We start from the raw sequence: 20,304 nt of genomic DNA, 5'->3' as shown, positions 1-20,304 counted from the left end.
TATGGGAAGACTCTGGACTCTGAAGATACAGATAAGGCAAACCAGGTAGGGACCTTGGGACCCATGGAAAATATGGTGGTGAGTTCCCTGGGTTTTCTTTTTGCCTCATCGTATACCACAGACAACCAGCTTAAAAACAAAAACAAAAAAACAAAAAACAAACCCCTGCTCTCCTAAGCCAAAGAAATGAGCAATAAACAACATGCCCTCCAGCCAATATCACAGAAAAAAACCGTGGCCCACCCCCACCCACAACAGCAAAAGCCATGTAGGGAGCCTAAGTTTCCACCCTTACAAGGCTGCAATGTTGTTCAGGCTCCCAGGTGTCTCTACCCCTTATCCTTTCAGGGGTGATATTGGAGAAGTCTAGACTTCCCTGCCAGGTGGTAATAAGACCCCCTTCCCCTGCCAGGGAGTATCTGTGGAGACCACCTGGAGAGCCTGGATTCCTCCTCCCACCTGGCAGTAATGAGACACTCCTTCTCATCCCCACTGGCGTGGTATCAGAGGAGGCCTAGCAGAGAGTCAGAACTTTCACCTCCGCCCAGGGGTAAGAAGGCCATCCCCTCCCAGTGGTGTCAGTAGAGTCCTAAAGAGGGGCTGACACTCCCACACTTGCCCAGTAGTAATGAGGACACCCACTTTGTGTGTCAATGGATCAGTTCCTCAAAAGCACAAACTACCACAACTCACCCAAAATTAAATGGATTATGTGAATAGCCCTAATAACTGTTAAAGAAATTGAATAAAGCCTTCGAAAAAGAAATCTGGCCCAGAACATTTCATTAAAGAATTCTACCAATGTTTAAAGAATTAAGATCAATTCACACAATCTCTTCCAGAAAACAGAAGCGTAGGGAGCACTTCCAATTTTTTTTTTTTTTTTTTTTTTTTTTTTGATATAGGGTCTCACTCCGTCACCCAGGCTGGAGTTGAGTGGCATGATCACAGCTCACTGCAGCCTCAACCTCCCAGGCTCAAGTGATCCTCCTGCCGCAGCCTCCCAAGTAGCTAGGACTATAGGCACATGCCACCACATCTGGCTAACTTTTTAATTTTTTTTTATAGAGTCAGGGCCTCCCTGTGTTCCCAGGCTGGTCTTCAACTTCTGGGATGAAGCAATCCTCCCAGAGGATGGTTTCAGGCTCCCAGAGTCCTGGGATTACAGGCGTGAGCCACCACACCCAGCCTAAGACAAAGATCTAACTGCAGACAGAAGTGGAGAAGGAAGGCCATAACGTGACCATAGAGGGAGAGATTAATGATGTAGCCATAAAACAAGGAATGCCATCAGCCACCAGAAGCTAGAAGAGGCAAGGAGCAGATTCTCCCCTAGATCTTCCAGAGGTGGTGTGGCCCTCTGACACCGTGATCTTGGCTGACTGATAATGATTTCAGAATTCTGGCCTCCAGAACGCTGAGAAATAAATGCCTGTCATTTTAAGTCACGATGTCTGCAGTAGTTTGTTATGGCAGCCAGAGGAAGCTAGTATAAATATCTCCCCATCTCCAAGTAAATATGTATGCAAAAGGCATACATATTTGACTAGTCTGAAGTACAAATACAAAAGAGAAAATCAGATACAATTTCAGAGTTCCTCATTCAAAATGAGAACGTAACACTCCTAAATTTTTTTACAGTTAAAGAAAGTATAGATAAAAAGAGAAATAAATACGGCTTTAGAAATTATATCCAATTATATCCACTGGATCCAATTATATCCACTGTATACTCAGTTCCCTGAAGATTAGCCTACTCAACAGACAAGAACTGTTTATCAAGTAGCCTAGCAAAAGAAGACTCAATCTTGAGTAACTCCGACTTCTAGTATATTCTTCTCTGAAGGAAAGAGAAGCTAAATTATATAGGTTTCATTACTACCATAAATAAATTCAACAAAATAAGGTCACTCTGGCACTCCTTGGAGTCCTCTAGATTATTTCCATCCTGCTTCTCCACTGCCTTCCCATTCTTAGTGAACAAAGCAAACATAATTCTTCCTTTAATTTAATCAATTGGTCTTAATGAATCACCATGTTAAAAATGTAAACAACCTAGGGCCACGTGCAGTGGCTCACGCCTGTAATCACAGCACTTTGGGAGGTCGAAGAGGGAGAATCACTTGAGCTCAGGAGTTCGGGACCAGCCCAGGCAACACAACAATATCTCTACAAAAAAAAAAAAAAATTAGCCAGACGCGGTGGCACATGCCTGTAGTACCAGCTACTCTGGGAAGCTTGAGATGGGAGGATCACTTGAGTCCATGCATTCAAGGTTACAGTGAGCTGTGATCAGGCTACTGCAATCCAGTCTGGGCAACAGAGTGAGACCCTGTCTCTATTAAAAAATAAAAATAAAAAATAAAAAAACCTAAGTTTAAATCTGCAGTTACTCTCATTAAGAAGTATGTTAACCCAGTAATTCACACTGTCCAGGTTGAGCACTACATCATAAAATTTCATTATGTGTATGATTATAACACAAACAATAAACCTGGTAATATATTTTACTGAATTTTGAAATGATATAATGGAACATGCAAGACTATCAAAACAATCATTATAACACATGAAAGGGGAAAAGGCAAAAAGGATGTCTCATTTAAATCTCCCACATTATAGACAGACTCACCCTAAGTAGCTACCGTAAGTTACATTCAGCATGGATATTCAGAAACTTTGGACATAACTTGTAATACAAGGCATACTCATTGAAATAATCCCTTACACTTAATGCCACACAAGTACAGTATATTTTAAATTTACAGTACATTAAAACAGGCATTATAGCATAGTAATTAAGAGCACAGACTCTGAAACTAGACTGCGTAGGTTCAAATCCATGCCCCGTACCTTCTTTGGGCTTCTGTTTCCTCATAAGTAAAATGAGGATAATAACAGTATTTGTATTTACTTCACAGTGGAAGCTGGGAGGGTTAAAGGAGTTAAAAACTTAAAGCACTTAGAACAGAACTCAGTATACACCTGGCACTCACACGTTATTAAAAGAGAGGGTCACCATTACTACCTACGGTCTTCATAATAGTTTCATAGCCGTCATGTTTACTTTTCATCAAAGAAAACCTACAGATGATGAAATCTCAATGACCTCTGTAGTGAAGGCACTGATTTGTGTTTATCTCCCCCTCTACACAGTAAGCTCAAAGACAGAAACCACATCTTATTTAACTCTGTCCCCATCACCAAGTTCATGGTGTACATCCAAAAATGATCGAGTTTAGTCAAGAAACGTTTTGGTGTTCAAGCCACCCCAACTTTCAATCAGTTTCCTCCCTAACTCTACACAGGTAAATTTTCATTTAAAGGCTACACAAACAGAAAAAAATAATTCTAAGACAGTATTTATATTATGAAAGAAGAAATGGTAAAAGCCACAGCCAAGGCTGCCTTTCCCAAGATACCTAAACATTCCAGTGGGGGAAGAGTCCCTGTCAAGAGTTAAAAACAATCCCCTCAGTCCACACTCCCAGTCACATGGAGCTGGAAGAGCTGGAAGAACCGCCGCCACCACTCATTCCTCTTTCTTCATCATTTATTTTTATCTTCATCCAGCATTTCCTTTCTTTGTGATACCACCAGTAGATACCAGCTCAACAACATGCTATCCCCCGCTCCATGAGTTCTCCCGAGGGAATGAACTATATACGCTTATATAAAACAGATGTGGTCTCTTATTTGAGAGGAAAAACTAAGGGTACCATAACTCTTCCCTTTATCTTTGTCCCTAGAACAGTAATCCATTTTCTCTGAGCAAGTGAACAACTGAAGTCTTCAGAACTCAACTGCGAAAAGCTGCAGACAAGGCAGCTAATCCTCTGTTGTCAGCTTTCACTGATGGCAACCCCTCATATGTCTCTTCCATTTGCCTCCCGAGTTTTTACAGTAGGATCCCTATGGCCCTACTGCCACAAGCAGAGGACAAGGTAAAGGTGTGAATAAAACTTGTAAGACTTTTTTGGGGCATTACCTCACAGCCACAGGAAACACACCGAAAGCTTTTCTTAGCTCGTTGCATTAAAAATCCTGCAGCCAAAGGAATTACAGCAGTCCTCATTAGCCAATAGCAATTAGTGCCTCACAGGGAGAAGACCACACAGCCATTTCTCTTTAACAAAGACCATATTTCATAATGATGAAAAAGAGACCTGCTTAGAATTTTCCCAAAAAATAAAACAAAAAAATCTATTATGTTCATAAAATATCATGTATTGTATTGATCAAAACTTAGATTACACTTTGCAACTGTGCATTAATTCTTAGGACAAAAACTAATGAATATGTGGAGTGCTTGGGGCATAATTTTGTGACCAAATTGTAAAACAGCATGATGTGACGGCCTTAATTTCACATTTGCCTTTTGCAAAACAATTATATAAAAGTCATTTTAGCGAAAAAAAAAAAAATTATACTTTTCATCATTTGTCTCCTGGAGCCTCTCACACTCCTTTTAAATTCTTTTAAAGTACCTCTTTCATAATTATCCCTGCTGTTTTTTCTCATTTAAAGTTAAGTGATCTTGCATTGCCATATTCTCACTAGAGCCTCTTTTTTATTATTAAAGTATATATATACAATAAAGTGCACAATCCTCATATTTTTACATATTCTGAATTTTTACATATACATACACCCATGTAACCACCACACATCTCAACATATAAAATGTTGCCAGAAGGTTCCCTCATGCCCTTTCCCAGTCATTACCACCACCACCAACCCAGAGTAATCACTATTCTGACTTCTGTCACCAGGGAAGTATTGTACTTCTTTGTGACTTCATTTAAATGGAATCATGCAGTGTACAATCTTATGTCTGACTTATGTCTGTAAGATACATCCATGTTGATACATATATCCATAATCCATTGTCTTTTACTGGTTTTGCAGTGTTTCGTCTTATAAATGTATCACAATTTACTCATCCATTCTACTGCTGATGTACAACTGGTTCTGCAGTGTTTCATCTTATAAATATATCACAATTTACTCATCCATTCTACTGCTGATGTACAACTGGTTCTGCAGTGTTTCATCTTATAAATATATCACAATTTACTCATCCATTCTACTGCTGATGTACAACTGGTTCTGCAGTGTTTCATCTTATAAATATATCACAATTTACTCATCCATTCTACTGCTGATGTACAACTGGTTCTGCAGTGTTCCATCTTATAAATATATCACGATTTACTCATCCATTCTACTGCTGATGTACAATAGGTTCTGCAGTGTTTCATCTTATAAACATATCACAATTTACTCATCCATTCTACTGCTGATGTACAATTGAGTTATATCCAATTTTTGATTATGAATAAAGGCACTATAAACATTCTTTAACATGTTTTTTAGTTTAACATGCATTAGTTTCTCTTGAGTATACCTAGGAATGCAAGCATTTGATCACGGGTAGGAGTAGACAAAGCCACAGTCTTCCAAAGTGACTGTACCATTTGACATCCCCACCAACAATATGTAAGAGATCCAGTTGGTCTACACCCTTGCCAACACTGGCCCCCACCAACAATATGTAAGAGATCCAGTTGGTCTACACCCTTGTCAACACCGGCACTGTCCATCTTTTTAATTTTAGTTATTCTGGAAGGTGTATAGCAGTATCTCATTATTGTTTTAATTTATATTTCCCACTGGCAAATAATGTTAAGTACCTTTTTATGTGCATACTGGCCATTCTGAGACCCTCTAATAGACAGTGCCTGTTCAAGACATCTATGCATTTTTAAAATGATTTTTCTCATTAATTTTGTTTATGCTACACACACACAAATAAACACACACACACGGTATGAGTCCTTGGTCAGATATATAAATTGCAAATTTCTTCTTCCGGTCCATATTTTGCTCTTCATTTTCTTAGTGGTGTCTTCAGATGAAGAGAAGTTTCCAATTTTAAAGAAGTCTGAAGACAAATTTATCAATCATTTTCATGATCATTGCTTTCTGAGTCCTTTTTAAGAATCTCTGCCTATTCCAGGCACTAGTCCTTTATTTGCGCTTATGGTTTCAGCAGTTCTCCCCCTTGCTTTGACTTCATGAAATCCTGCATCTTTTGCAAGATTTGCACACCCTACCTTGTAGTCGATTTGCACTGCATTCATGTTATGTTGTTAGGTGCTGGACAACTTTAGTGTTACACACGTTTAAGTGGAGATCAGCTTTAAAACTAGAGAAACCATCAGTGATTACTTCCATATTACAATGATTTCTGTACAAATATATTCAAAACCTAAAGTAAAAAGAAAAAAATTCTAACACCCATTATCCTAGCATTTTTGTAGCATAAAGTGGAAGCTATGCATCTAATCGAGATCCTTCTACAGTTCCCACTGCCCGCAGGAGAGTTCCCACTCTCTTAGCTAAGAGTTCACAACCTGGCTCTAACCTTTCCTGGCTTCTCTCCCAGCAACACCTGTAATACTGTGGTCTGACCCCTGGACACCATGAGCTCTCACTTGTCCTAGCTTTGCTCTGTTTCTCCCTACGCCTTTATCCTCCAGTTAGCTCCCTTCCTCTTCTGGCCAGGCCCATCCCAGAAGAAGTAACTGTTCCCTTTTATGTGCTCTCACAGGTCTCTGTACCCACAATTATATTTGAGTCCTTATCATGCTTTATTAGTTAATCATTTATTTATTTGTCTCAACTGTCTACAAACTTCTGGACCTGGGACTTCTCCCTGAACTCCTCAAGGGTAGGGTCAGGAGTTAATGTTTACATCCTAAAGACTTGGCAGGGCTATTCCATAAAGGTTCAATGAAACAATAAATGTCCTAGCCACTTTTACTCATCCTATTTTATTAATAAATAAAGACTGGAAAAATTAGCACAAGTATATCAAAACAACAAGCTTAACTAAAATCAGTTTTCTTTTAAAAGTCCCCCAGCAAATTATTCTTTTAAAAAATGTAATAAAAACAAAAATCCCAATTATTGATTTGTGCTTCCTGATAGAAATTAGTCATAACTAGCCAGGCACAGTGGCTCACACCTGTAATCCCAACACTTTGGGAGGCTGAGGCAGGCGGATCACCTGAGGTCGGGAGCTCAAGACTAGCCTGACCAACACAGAGAAACCCCGTCTCTACTAACAATACAAAATTAGCCAGGCGTAGTGGCACATGTCTGTAATCCCAGCTACTCAGGAGGCTGAGGCAGGAGAATCGCTTGAACCCGGGAGGCAGAGGCTGTGGTGAGCCGAGATCGTGCCATTGCACTCCAGCCCTGGCAACAAGAGCGAACCTCCCTCTCAAAAAAAAAAAAAAAAGAAATTAGTCATAACTCTGTTTCAAAATAACTTTTTAATTAATGGGCAACACAAGTAAGAAGAATATACCACTTAACCAAAGTAAATGTAATTGTTACCACACAAATCACTATTGGACGCCAATGGAATAAACCATGATTATTATTTACACAAGATCACAAACAAAACTACTGGCTTGAAATATGTGTTCATTCTAGGACATTGCTAGAGCCTTTGAAAAAGAAAAATATATATATTAAAAATGAAAAATTTGTACATGAATTAATGTTTCCCCTTAATACATAACACATCTGTATGTCATAGGAAGATAGTAGGCATGGTGGTAGTAAGACAGTAAGAACACAGGCTGGAAACACAATGCTAATTGTGTGATATGGACAAATTACTTAAACTTCAATGTGCTTCAGTTTCCTCATCTGCAAAATAAAGATAATAAATGTATCCGCCTCACAGTGATGCTAGATGACTGAGTTGGCACATATAAGTCCCCGGATTCAGTGCCTGGCAGAGTACATGAATGCAGAGGAATAAATTTCAAATATTTTCACTGTTTTTTTAACTTTTTAAAGCCCTTTCACACATACTGTCTTTTCTTTTTCCTCCCAACAGTGCAATGAGATTGTTTGAATAAGAAATACTCACTTTAGAGATAAGACACCAATAGTGAAGTTGTATGATTACCCTAAGATATTTTTAAGTGGCAGAGTTTGGACTAGAATCCACCCATAACCTCAACCCCAGGACAAACTGACCAAATCTCCATGGATCCAGTTTGGAAGAATCTTTTGGGTTTTCCCCATTGCTTCCTCCTGGTTGTCAGCAACAGCCAGCCTAAAGACCTGGTGGGGGCAGATGCAGACGACCATGTGTTCAAATTAAAAAGTAGGAGAAGCCTAGCTTTCACAGAAACTGACACATAGTTGGCACTCCAGAGATTGCAGCTATTGATGACTGAAACACAAGCGCTATTACGTTTTTCTCAGTTACAGAACAAGGTACTACTCCATAAAATCAAGCCTACTACCAAAAACAAAAGTCAGTTAACATTATGCTTATCTGTCATATCAAGCATATCAAAGTACAATGTGCAACAGAAACCTAAACGAAAAAGTGATGATGTATTTTTACTTACTCTCAAAAAATATGTTTTACAAAAAGGGCTTTCATCAAGTCAGTTTTTTGAAAACTAACCCACGTAGTTATACTTCATGAGATGACGTTTCTTTGAACAAATAAGTTAATGATATGAATAAATATTTCATCTTGGTAATGCCTTCAACACATATCTTCAATACTTTTCTTGGACTTAAAGTGACTTCAATCCCTAATCTCATCTACTGCCATGTACACAAGAAACACAGTTAATGAACTTTAAAGGCAGATGCAGTATTTCCAGGGAAGCCACCTGAACCAGGGAAGTACAAGAAAGCAAAACATCTCCACAACCACATCTAAGTGCCTTATCTTTCAACTTCTTTTCTTCAAATGGGCAATTAGAAGCTACGATACACCTTAAAGATCAGGTTTGGCATCCGCCCTGGCTAGGGCCTACCTTTCTTTTCGCGGCACTGCCACTCTGGCACCTACAGGCAGGCCTTTGGCGCCTGCAGGACTCGCAGGGAAGACAACCCCAGCCCCTGCTCTCCACGGCTCTCGTCGAAGCCCCGCACGTGGTGACCACTTGAGACGTTTTAGTGCATGGGATTTAACAGGGTCAGACCTCAGGTTGCGTTCCGGGACAGTGCAGCTCCCAGACCCGCTGAGGTCGCAGGAGGAAGGTTTTGACGCTCCTAGCGTAAACACCGACGGGACCCTCTTCGCCCCGCGGCTACCTCGCCCTCGCCGCTCGCGCGGCCCCTCAGCACCTGACGCCTCAGCCAGCCTCCAGGAGTCGCTTCCCCGCGCCTCCTTCCACCTGAGCCAGCGACGCTACCGCCACCTGCACCGGGACCCCAAATGCCAGGCCAGTGGCCGTTACCCGAGGTCGCGGCCCGGGGAAGGTCCATGGCTCAGGAGGAAAAGCCCGGGCTGCAGCTCCCCTTCCTGCACCTCTGAGATCCCCCGGCCGCCGCCATTTTCCTCGCGCCGTAACCCCACCTGATAGTTCCAGCCTCCCACCTGTGACAAGCAGGGCACGCCGCGCGACGCCGAGTGGGGTGCGTGGGCAAGCTGGGGCTCCGTAGGGGTCACAACCTCCGTGCGGAACCCGCCGTTAATTCATCCCGTAACGCGGAGGCGTCCGGCCGTCGCCCTAGTAATGCGTCCCGGAAGGCTACGTCCTGATTGGCTGCAGGCGCCGTGACGCAACGGCGTCCCCGGCTGCGTGGGAAACCCGGGTCCCCGGCGCCCCGCGCTTGCTCCACAGCCCGGGATACCCCGGGTACCTTTCTTTGAGAGCTCCTTTAAAGAGGCCTCGCTTATTTCCTCGTCTGGCCTCCTGGAGAGGAGGGACCCACGGAACGGTGGGGTGTAGGGGTGAGAAAACAACGAAATAGGAAATTAGCGGAGGTCATTTGTCCGAGGGAACCTAATGGTTCATTCAACCCCTAGAGCTGCAAAATGGAAAACAGAAATCTGGGAGTTTAATTTACAAGCCTAAATTTGGTGCGCGAAGTCACAGGACAAATCAGTAGTAGAAGCAGTTATAGAACCCAGGTTCCCTGATCAGGAGCACAAAGTTTTTCTAGCACACTCAGTGTTTCCCCAGTCCTAGAAAATGTTTCCTCCCAGTTCCCATAGCAATTTCATCACACTGCTCTTAAAAGGTCTCGATCACCTATCATGGTGTGTCTGTCCTGTCCCCTAACCTACTAGATTGCATGCCCCTGAATGGTGGGGACTGTGGTTAAACCCCTTTTCATTTCCCTTAAGCAATTCCCTCCTCAACTTGGCCTTCAACAAATACAATAAGAATCTTAAAAATAATAAACATAGCTACACATCACACACAGCCACTCATCAGTAGTTCATGTATGTCTATACGTTTTATCCGTTTATTCAACAAAGCACAGAGTGAATATTTTTAAAATTACAAGGTTCCTGACCTCACAAAATTTATGGTGTAATAATAATGACCATCTACATGTTGGCTGCATAGCTTCAATATAGCTAAATTATATCCCCAAATTGCCTGTAAATCAAAGATTCTTGTGCTCTTTTCCTAAATTAGCTTCATAATTTCTCTAAGTTTGTTCCAAAACATTTTAATATTTAAGATGTGCTAAAATTGCATCAGAAAGTGAAGAATGACTACAGAGAGAAACACCAGAACAAAAGTCAATTCTGCCAATTATGCCTATGACTTTAGGCCTCCTTTTTACCTTTAAAATAAGATTACTGGAATAAAAGATCTCCCAATTCTTTTTTGTTGTTGTTAAGAGTTGGCCTGGCTATGCTCCAGAACCTTCAAGGGCTCTACTGTGGTTCTTTGGGGGCTTGCCGGAGGTTCCTCATAGCCTTTGCAGCTCCATTGCAGAGAGCTCTAGCATTGTGAGGTGTGTCCGGTGATACAGCCCAAGAGGCAAGGTTGCCCTTACCGCCCTAACCACAGAGGACAGTGCTGGGCTCTTTCTTTTTTCTTTTCTTTGCTTTTTTTTTTTTTTTTTTTTTTTTTGAGACAGGGTCTCGCTCTGTCACCTAGGCTGGAGTGCAGTGGCATGATTGTGGCCCACTACAACCCCTGCCTCCTGGACTCAAGCAATCCTCCCACCTCAGCCTCCAGACTAACTGGAACTACAGGCATCTGCCACCATGCCCAGCTAATTTTGTGTTTTTTGTAGAGACAGGATTTCAACATGTTGCCAGGCTGGTCTCGAACTCCTGAGCTCAAGCTATCCACCCACCTTGGCCTCTCAAAGTGCTGGGATTAGAGGCTTGAGCCACCGCGCCTGGCCCTGAGCCCGTTCTTGATCTGAGCTACTGATCAGTAGCCACCTTCCACGTCAACTGCTAAAGGGATAGGAACAGAATTCCCAAGGGCAAAATATGCTGATTTCTAAACTCAGAGATCTGCTAAGTGTCATGCTTCTTTCTTTTTGGCAGAGGTGCAAGGTGTAGTAACATGTTTTTCATTCTGGGGAAAATGTCTTGACGTGCCCAAGATCATTGGACCACTTCAGCATCCAAAATGATGTATAGTTTACATAATGCTATTGTACCAGGATCATTCTTTGTTTTGATACATGTTCTATGCTTACACAAGATGTTGACATAAGGGGAAGCTAGGTAAAGAATATATGGAAAAATCCCTGTACTCTCTTTACATCTCTCCTAAGTCTAAAACTACCCCCCCAGTTTTTTAAATAATTATTTTAAAATATCACCAATGTAGCAAGCTCCTGAATTTTTGTGGGGTTTATCCGCGTCTGAAATGTATGTATTTCATCAAGACATCCAGAGAAGTAGTCCCCGACCTTTTTGGCACCAGGGACTGCTTTCGTGGAAGACAGTTTTTCCATGAACGGGGTGAAGGGTGAAGGGGGTGATTTCGGGATGATTCAACCACATTACATTTATTGTGCACTTTATTTCTATTATTATTACATTGTAGTATATAACACTTAAAAAGTGGTGTTAATCTGTGCTCTACTGTCCCAAAGGGACAAGTTTCTCAATCTTTCCTGACCCCAGTAACAGAGCATCACAGCTGATGAATTGCTGAACCTCATGAGCCATTGACTTAATGGTCACATTTAATAGGGCACTCTCTGTAATGCTCAGGGACACACTATGACATACAGGAAATCTCAAGTCCTAGTTCTTATTGTACTTTTGTCATTATTGGGGTACTTTCTATGCCCATGTAATTGCTCACTCCTCTTCAAAATGTGAGAGTAATAAGGGAAAATCTGTGCTCAATAACAGACCTCAGAAAAGAGCCAAGTACATTGCCGCCAATAAAATCGGAGCAAGTCTCTCCCAAGGTAATGAATACAAGCAACATGCAGCCCAGTGCCAGCAGAGGCCACAGATACTTAACTGGAGGCCCAGAGTGGCCCATTTATTATAGCCTACAGTTTATTGCTTGCAAGCAAGAATTGCAAAATTTCTTTTGCAATTCCCTCTTTGCAAAAATTTCTATGAATGAGACTTAGCATTACCTAATATCACCAGTCATCCAACGAGATTCTGAAATTCAAAAGGCATTTGAAATGAAATGTTTTAATTTCTTGAGACATGGAGTAAGCCATGTCTTTGGTAGCTGAGGAGTTTTGGTGCTAGAAGGTACAGCTTGGAAGTAGTGACAAATTTACATTAGCACAAAACAGCTGTGGAGTCTAATTATTAATAGTTCTGATTATTCTCTTTTTGCTCCATCTCTCCCCTTCCCCGTTCCCCACCCCCATCTTTTTTGTTGTTGTTGTTGAGACAGAGTTTCGCTGTTGTTGCCCAGGCTGGAGTGCAATGGCACCATCCTAGCTCACCACAACCTCGGCCTCCCGGGTTCAAGCAATTCTCCTGCCTTATCCTCCCGAGCAACTGGGATTACATGCATGTGCCAACCACACCTGGCTAATTTTGTATTTTCAGTAGAGACCGGGTATCTCCATGTTGGTCAGGCTGGTCTTGAACTCCTGACCTCCGGTGATCCACCCCCCTCAGCTTCCCAAACTGGTGGAATTACAGGTGTGAGCCACCTCGCCCGGCCCCACCCCCATCTTTATGCTGACTTGTCCGGCTTTCCTCTCCTGACTCCTGGTCTTTTGCCTCTGGCAGGGTTTAGCCAATGGGAGGCCCTGGCTGGACTCTGCAGGGTGGGCTGAGAAACAGCTCAAGGCTGCATTCCCCTGGCTCCCTCCCTGTGGGGCTGCAGGGTGGCAGTGGCTTCAACACTTCACGTAAGGCCACAGCTCCTTGTCTAGAGCCCAGCTCTCACTGGATTCTGGGACCCACTCCCCGCCTTGTCCCTTTAGGCAGGGCCCACAGGGTGTGTGATGGCCTAACTTATTGTGTCTAGCCTCAGGGTACTTCATTGCCCTCTGTTAATTTCCCTTAACGCTGATTGTACCTTTGTAGTCAGCCTTCAACTCTCTTTAATCATCCCTCTGTGCCAAGGGTGTCACTTGTTTCTTGTGAAAACCTAACTGATATATTGATGGACCAAAATTTCACTTAGGCTAAAAAGATACAACTACCAGAAAGTATGTTTAGAACCCTGGTGATGAGTCACTCATCCAACATAGAAAAAAACAATTTTATCCTATTGCTACTACTCAATACAAACCCTCTGTATCAGTAAGGAACACCTTCCTCTGTAAGTTATCACAAACTCAACTAACAGTGCAACTAACAGTGGCTTAAACCACAAGAACATTTATTGTTACTTAACTCAAAGTGTAGAGATAGGTAATCTCAGAATTAACTCTAACTTAAAAATGACATCCAGGACTCAGGTTCTTTCATTTCTTTTTTTTCTTTTTGTTTTTGTTGTTGTTGTTGTTGTTGTTTGTTTGTTTTTGAGACCAGGCTAGAGTACAGTGGCATGATTTCATCATAGCTCACTGCAGCCTGGGCCCCAGGGATCCTCCTGGCTAAGCTTTTTTAATTTCTTAGAGACAGGGTATTGCTATGCTGCCCAGACTGGTCTTGAACTCCCAGCCCCAAGCAATCCTCTCGCTTCCTGAGTATTTGGGATTACAGGCATGAACCACAGCACCCAGCCAACTCAGGTTCTTTCTCTCCTTCTGCCCTGCCTTCCTTAGCATATTGGCCTTACATTTTTATGTTTATTGCCTCATGGCCGCAAGATGGTTGTCAACAACTCCAGACATCACAGTCATCTCCAAAGGCAAGAAACAATGGGTCAGGTGCAGTGGCTCACACCTATAATCCCAACACTCTAGGAGGCTGAGACCTGCATATCACCTGAGGCCAGGAGTTCGAGACCAGTCTGGCCAACATGGTGAAACCCTGTCTTTACTAAAAATACCAAACTTAGCTGGTTGTAATGGTGCATGCCCGGAATCCCAGCTACTCAGAAGGCTGAGACAGGAGACTTGCTTGAATCTGGGAGGTGGAGGTTGCAGTGATCTCAGATCGTGCCACCGCACTGCAGCCTGGGCAACAGAGCAAGACACCCTCTCAAAAAAATAAAATAAAAAAGAAATGTTTGTTACCTTTTCTCTATTGTTTCTCTAAATAGTAACGACCTTTAAGGCCCAATTCCAATCTCTTCAACATCTATTTTCGACCGCCACTGAATTATCTCTGATGACCACATAATCACTGTGAGATGGCCATCCCGCAACCTATATTGACTGTATTTTCTTTTTTTTTTTTTTTTTTTAGATGGAGTTTTGCTCTTGTTGCCGAGGCTAGAGTGCAATGGCGCAATCTCAGCTCACCACAACCCCCGCCTCCCAGGTTCAAGCAATTCTCCTGCCTCAGCCTCCCAAGTAGCTGGGATTTCAGGCATGCGCCACCACCCCCGCTAATTTTGTATTTTTAGTAGAGATGGGATTTCTCCATGTTGGTCAGGCTGGTCTTGAATTCTCAACCTCAGGTGATCCGCCCACCTCGGCCTCCCAAAGTGCTGGGATTACAGGCGTGAGCCACTACGCCCGGCTGTATTTTTTTATTTTCTGTGTTCTTGATGCTTTGTCATCTGAGACCTCCTTGAAGAACTACCTATACCAGGGTTAGCAAATAACTCTCCCAGGAGTGTGCCTTTCATAGGCAAACCAACTAATCCAGACACACAAACCCCCACCTTCTCTAACTGGTTCTTACACTCCAGGCCAATATTCCTCTGCCCATGCACCAGACAACTTGGGATAGCTCCTCTACCTCAGAGCCTGCTGAGATCAAAACTAGCCTATCCTAAGCCTGCATACCCTGCCTTGCCCATTCCTTCCCATAGAAACCATAGTAAAGACTTTCCCATGATTTCCTCCTGCTTTTTGTGTATTTTTATTTTTTATTTTTTATTTTTATTTTTAGAGAAATCCCATCTCTACTAAAAATACAAAATTAGCGGGGGTGGTGGCGCATGCCTGAAATCCCAGCTACTTGGGAGGCTGAGGCAGGAGAATTGCTTGAACCTGGGAGGCGGGGGTTGTGGTGAGCTGAGATCGCGCCATTGCACTCTAGCCTCGGCAACAAGAGCAAAACTCCATCTAAAAAAAAAAAAAAAAGAAAACCTCGCTATGTTGCCCAGCCTTGTCTCGAACTCCTGGACCGAAGTGATCCTTCTTGCCTTGGCCTCCAGAAGCACTGGGATTACAGGCATGAGCCACTGCACTTGGCCGGCTTGTGCATTCTGACCAAGCTTGGTGCTCCCCGCTGTGGGCCCACGTGGAGTGACATGTGCTGTCCTCTTGACTGTAACAGATTATCTTTTCAATGGAAGTTATCTCCCCATCTCTTGGCCACACCATACCTGAATAACAAGAAAACTTTTGAAAAACAAACCCCTTCTTTTTCTTGGTGGTTTTCTAACCATTTGCCATCTCTACCCAGGGACCAGCTCTGTGGAGATCTTGGTCCTAGCCTACAATTGGTTGTATAATACGATCCTTCCCCAGAGTGGGCCCATATATCCCAGTCTTCCAACCAGAGCTTCTACAGCACAAACAAATCTTTCCCTGTTAATATTCACCACCTCTAGAAGTATAACTTAAGTTATGCCAAAGACCACATTCTTTCAGGGTTGAGGAGAAAGAAATAAGTGACACTGTAGGAAAATAACTCCATATGCTATAAACTAAGTTATTTAATTTTACTATGACCCCAGAAATAATATATTATCCTCATTCTACAGATGTAAAACCAAGGATCAGTGTATTATTTTCCTATTGCTACTGTAACAAATTACCATAAATTTAGTGGCTCAAAACAACAGAAATTCATCATCTTCCAGGTCTAGAGGTCAAAAGTCCAAAATCAGTTTTACTGAGTAATGTCAAGGTGTTGGCAGCATTCGTCCCTTCTGGAGATTCAAAGGGAGAATCCATTTCCTTTCCTTTTTCAGCTTCTAGTATCAGTGCTACTTGTTTTGTGGCCTTTTCCACCATCTGTAAAGCACATCACTCCAGTCTGTGTTCCCAACATCACTTCACCTTCTCCTCTTCCATAGTAAAATCTCTCTCTGCCTCTCTCTTAGAAGGACATTTGTGATTACATTTAGGGTCCACCAGATAATCCGGGATAATCTCCCCATCTCAAAATCCTTAATTTAATCACAATTGCACAGTTCCTTTTGCCATATATGGTAACATTCATAGGTTCCAGGAATTAGGATCTGGATATTTTTGAGAGCTATTCTTCAGCCTCCCGCACTGGGATCCACGGGGCTAAAATCAAGGTGTCTGCAGGGCTGCATTGCTTCTGAAGATTCTAGGGGTGATTCCATTTCCTTGCCTTTCTCAGCTTCTAGAGACTACCTGAGTTCCTTGCCTTGTGGCCCCTTCCTCCACCTTTGAAGTCAGCTGTGTCTCATCTTCATTTCTCGCACTGAAAACTCTGCTTCCGTCATCACTGAGCCTGCACTAATTCTGACTCTCCTGCCTCTCTCTTTCCTTTATAAGGTTGGGCCTAGAATAACCGAGGAAAATCTCACCTGCAAAGTCCCTTTTGCCATGTAAGGTAACATATTTACAGATTTAGAGGATTAGGACAGGGACATCTTTGGGGGCCATTATTACTGCGTACCACATACGGACCAAAAGCAGTCCTGCGGTTGCCGGGGAACAGGGTGGGGAGGAGGAAAACGGAGGGGCTACAAAGGAGCAGTAGAACACTTTTGGGGAGAAGGTTAGGATTATCTTGACTGGATGATGGTTTCATGGGTGTACACATAGGTCAAAACTTAAATTGTACCTTGATATGGTTTGGCTGTGTCCCCACCAAATCTCATCTTGAATTGTATTAATAGTTCCCATTATCCCCATGTGTCATGGGAGGGACCCTCTGGGAGGTAATTTAATCATGGGGGCAGTTACTCTCATACTATTCTTGTGATAGTGAGTGAGTTCTCATAAGATCTGATTGTTTTATAAGGGACTTCCCTCCCCACCCACTTCGCTGTCATGCTTCTCCTTCCTGGCACCGTGTGAAGAAGGATGTGTTTGCTTCCCCTTCCACCATGATTGTAAATTTCCTGAGGTCTCCCCAGCCATGGAGAACTGTGAGCCAATTAAACCTCTTTCCTTTATAAATTATATGCCCAGTCTCAGCCAGGCATGGTGGCTCACGCCTGTAATCCCAGCTCTTTGGGAGGCCGAGGTGGGCAGATAACGAGGTCAGGAGATTGAGACCATCCTAGCTAATACGGTGAAACCCCGTCTCTACTAAAAATACAAAAAAACTAGCCAGGCGTGGTAGTGGGCGCCTGTAGTCCCAGCTACTCGGGAGGCTGAGGCAGGAGAATGGCGTGAACCTGGGAGGCGGAGCTTGCAGTGAGCCAAGATCACGTCACTGCACTCCAGCCTGGGCAACAGAGCGAGACTCCGTCTAAAAAATAAATAAATAAATAAATTACCCAGTCTCAGGTACGTCTTTATTAGCAGCAAGAGAACAAACTAACATAGACCTTTAAATATGTGCAGTGTGCTGCATGTCAATTATACCTTAATAAAGCTGTTAAGATTAAACTAAATGAGAAAACAAAAAAAACAAACAAAAAAACTGAGGCTCAGAAATCTTGACTAAGTCTTCAGAACTAGATGGTGGTGTAGCCAAAATGCACACTCTGATGAGTCCATGTCATGCCGAAGGCCATGCCTCTGATGGTGCCTCACTTCTTTATTCTCTCTTCTGTATAATTGAGATGGTAATACTTGCTCCTTAGGAATGGGGGTACATACTAGATGCCCAATATATGGTCATTTCCTTCCCTTTACCCTTTTAGGCCTACCGACTAGCCAGTTTCTAAGTATCCTGGAGCATATTCTGTTTTACAGAAACTGAAAATTATTACTTTCTTCATAAAAGAGAGAAAGGCATCCAAGAAAAATACCACATGAAGCCAACAGAGTAGTAAATAGGCCTTGCCTTCAGGTATTCTCAGCTATAAATGTCCCAGGCTATAAAATGCAAAGCAACACCCAGGATCAGATATACATGCTTTATTCTCAGAAATCTAGGCTGGTTCATTTTGGTGCCTCGTGATGAGAGACAGTTTCCAGGAACAAATAGGGGGAGGCAAGCATGTGGAAGCTGCCCCATGGTTAGAAACAATGATATGAAAAATGATTGCTGTATCCAAGGTCACAAAGCTCTTTTGACTGATATGCCATGCTTGGGTCATAGTGGTGAAATGAAACAGAACAGTACTCCTGGCTGGTCAAGAAACCTGTCTGTTTCCAGGATTTCCTCAAAAGAAGACAATGTCATTTATGTGTTTTTATGCTTCGTCATCAATGTGTTCATGTGTTTAGAAAACAGTATCTTCTATTCCTGGATAAATTGAAAATAGCTTGAAAAAAGAGTCCTCATTTCCAGTTTCCTCTGGAATTCTTCACAGGTTACTATATACCATTTCTTCCCTATCTTGGATGGGGCTGCCCTAGGCCCTGATTCAAGTTCACTTTGGATTTACTTCCTGTTTCTTGACCTCTGTATTCGTTTCTTCCACCAAAGTCATGCATGTTTCATGATCACATCAGCTTATGTTGGTCACATCAATCGACTTAGGGAAATAGGAATAAATAACTCAAGCAAAAAATAAAAATAAATAATAAGTAAACAAGAGGTGGGAGAATAGTAGATGTCTCAATCCTCGGTTTGGCACTAAAAACACCATCCAGTTCATCATCCTGTAGGCAAACTACCAGTAAGAAGTGAATTTAAGATTTATAGTCACAGTTTCATAAATGCTAAGCATAGCAAAGACAGCTAGATGCAATCCAGTTCCACTGCCACGTACCAACTCTATATTTGAGGCAAAGTAGTTTGACTTCCCTGAGCCTCAGTTTTCTCATTTGCAAAATGAGAAAAATAAATAGTTCCTGCCTTGTGGAGCTGTGATGAGGTGCTAGTACATGTAGTAGATGCTTAGCAAATGAGAGTTGCCTTCTTTTTACTTCTTCCTTCTGTCCATCTTTATCTAATTTGGCTTATGAATTTGCTCCAGTTAAATGCCTCAGGGGAGATGAAAATGTGAATGTCAATCAACCTAGAAAGAAAGTGCTTATGCACTTTGACCCATGGAGAACAATTAGTCCTCAAAAGCACTGAGCGAGTAGGCAGTTGTGGCCTACAGCCACATTTTGGCACTGAATCATGTCCTGTTTAGCATTGTTCACTAATTGTTTCAAGTTATTTCCCCTCTCTGAGATTCAATTTCCTAGCTAGTTGTAGCTTGGATGAGATCCTCTTTAAGCCCTGTCTAATTCTTCTCAGTTCTCTTTTCTGCTCCTATACCCCCATTTACATATAAAAACTCAGAAAATAGAAACAACTATGGAAAGCTAAGCAAATCCCTTATACAGAGCTCAGATTATCTCCAGTATGATATCCAGGCACAGTTTGGGGCCTCTGGCTGCTGCCCAGAACTCTCACCATTCTGGACCATCCTATTATAATACAAAGTCAATGTCTGTGACACTCAATCTCCACCCCTCAGCAAGCATCTGATGACAAGAGGAACTTCTGAGCTCAAGAGTTCAAGACTATCATTCAGAACAGTTCCACTAGAATAAGTTGGTTCAGAGAGTCGCTGAAATTGTCACACTTTGTGCTTAGTCTCAAGAACCATGCTTCTAAACTTTAGCTATGCATTAGAATCAGCCGGGGAGCTTTCAAAACAGCAGAGATCATAATTATATTCGGTTTAGGATGGGGCCTGGGCAGTGGTAATTTTTAAAAGATCCCCAGGCAATTGTAAGTGCATTCAAAATGGAGAATTATTGATTTAGGTCGGATACTGGAGTGTAATTATTGGGGCCCACCTCTGAGTTTCTGGACACACCTGCAATAACCCTGACAGGCTCTAAGTAGGACTGATGTTGGATGAATCAATGGATGAATGAACAGATAACTGTGAGATAATATAGTGGAAA

General features: G+C 42.4%; 1 protein-coding gene across 11 annotated transcripts in view, besides 7 other annotated features; it reads right to left on the bottom strand.

The window, feature by feature from the left end:
* Positions 1-9,562, bottom strand: part of LCLAT1 (lysocardiolipin acyltransferase 1) — a 196,980-nt gene extending 187,418 nt beyond the window's left edge. For 7 of the 11 annotated variants that reach the window (NM_001304445.2, XM_005264244.2, XM_047443868.1 and 4 more), the window contains exon 1: positions 9,425-9,562. The gene's annotated coding sequence lies outside the window, so the exon portion shown is untranslated. Of the gene's footprint in view, positions 1-9,284 lie in introns of all 11 variants that reach the window. The other 4 variants (NM_182551.5, XM_005264245.4, NM_001304446.2 and 1 more) reach the window with 2 other exon arrangements.
* Positions 8,398-9,134: an enhancer, noted in NCBI's record as "H3K27ac-H3K4me1 hESC enhancer chr2:30670540-30671276 (GRCh37/hg19 assembly coordinates)". NCBI's record gives its function as "activates a minimal SCP1, AML or CMV promoter by ChIP-STARR-seq in primed H9 embryonic stem cells {active_cell/tissue: H9 hESC(primed)}" and the evidence as "EXISTENCE:reporter gene assay evidence [ECO:0000049][PMID:30033119]".
* Positions 9,135-9,872: an enhancer, noted in NCBI's record as "H3K27ac-H3K4me1 hESC enhancer chr2:30669802-30670539 (GRCh37/hg19 assembly coordinates)". NCBI's record gives its function as "activates a minimal SCP1, AML or CMV promoter by ChIP-STARR-seq in primed H9 embryonic stem cells {active_cell/tissue: H9 hESC(primed)}" and the evidence as "EXISTENCE:reporter gene assay evidence [ECO:0000049][PMID:30033119]".
* Positions 9,332-9,451: an enhancer, noted in NCBI's record as "active region_15547". NCBI's record gives its function as "activates an Ori minimal core promoter by ATAC-STARR-seq in GM12878 lymphoblastoid cells {active_cell/tissue: GM12878}" and the evidence as "EXISTENCE:reporter gene assay evidence [ECO:0000049][PMID:35858748]".
* Positions 9,662-9,721: an enhancer, noted in NCBI's record as "active region_15546". NCBI's record gives its function as "activates an Ori minimal core promoter by ATAC-STARR-seq in GM12878 lymphoblastoid cells {active_cell/tissue: GM12878}" and the evidence as "EXISTENCE:reporter gene assay evidence [ECO:0000049][PMID:35858748]".
* Positions 9,762-9,831: an enhancer, noted in NCBI's record as "active region_15545". NCBI's record gives its function as "activates an Ori minimal core promoter by ATAC-STARR-seq in GM12878 lymphoblastoid cells {active_cell/tissue: GM12878}" and the evidence as "EXISTENCE:reporter gene assay evidence [ECO:0000049][PMID:35858748]".
* Positions 13,050-13,550: an enhancer, noted in NCBI's record as "H3K4me1 hESC enhancer chr2:30666124-30666624 (GRCh37/hg19 assembly coordinates)". NCBI's record gives its function as "activates a minimal SCP1, AML or CMV promoter by ChIP-STARR-seq in naive H9 embryonic stem cells {active_cell/tissue: H9 hESC(naive)}" and the evidence as "EXISTENCE:reporter gene assay evidence [ECO:0000049][PMID:30033119]".
* Positions 19,816-19,895: an enhancer, noted in NCBI's record as "active region_15544". NCBI's record gives its function as "activates an Ori minimal core promoter by ATAC-STARR-seq in GM12878 lymphoblastoid cells {active_cell/tissue: GM12878}" and the evidence as "EXISTENCE:reporter gene assay evidence [ECO:0000049][PMID:35858748]".

Source organism: Homo sapiens, chromosome 2, assembly GCF_000001405.40.
Source record: "Homo sapiens chromosome 2, GRCh38.p14 Primary Assembly".
Classification (NCBI taxonomy): Eukaryota; Metazoa; Chordata; class Mammalia; order Primates; family Hominidae; genus Homo; species Homo sapiens.
This window is presented reverse-complemented; position numbering and strand designations above follow the sequence as displayed.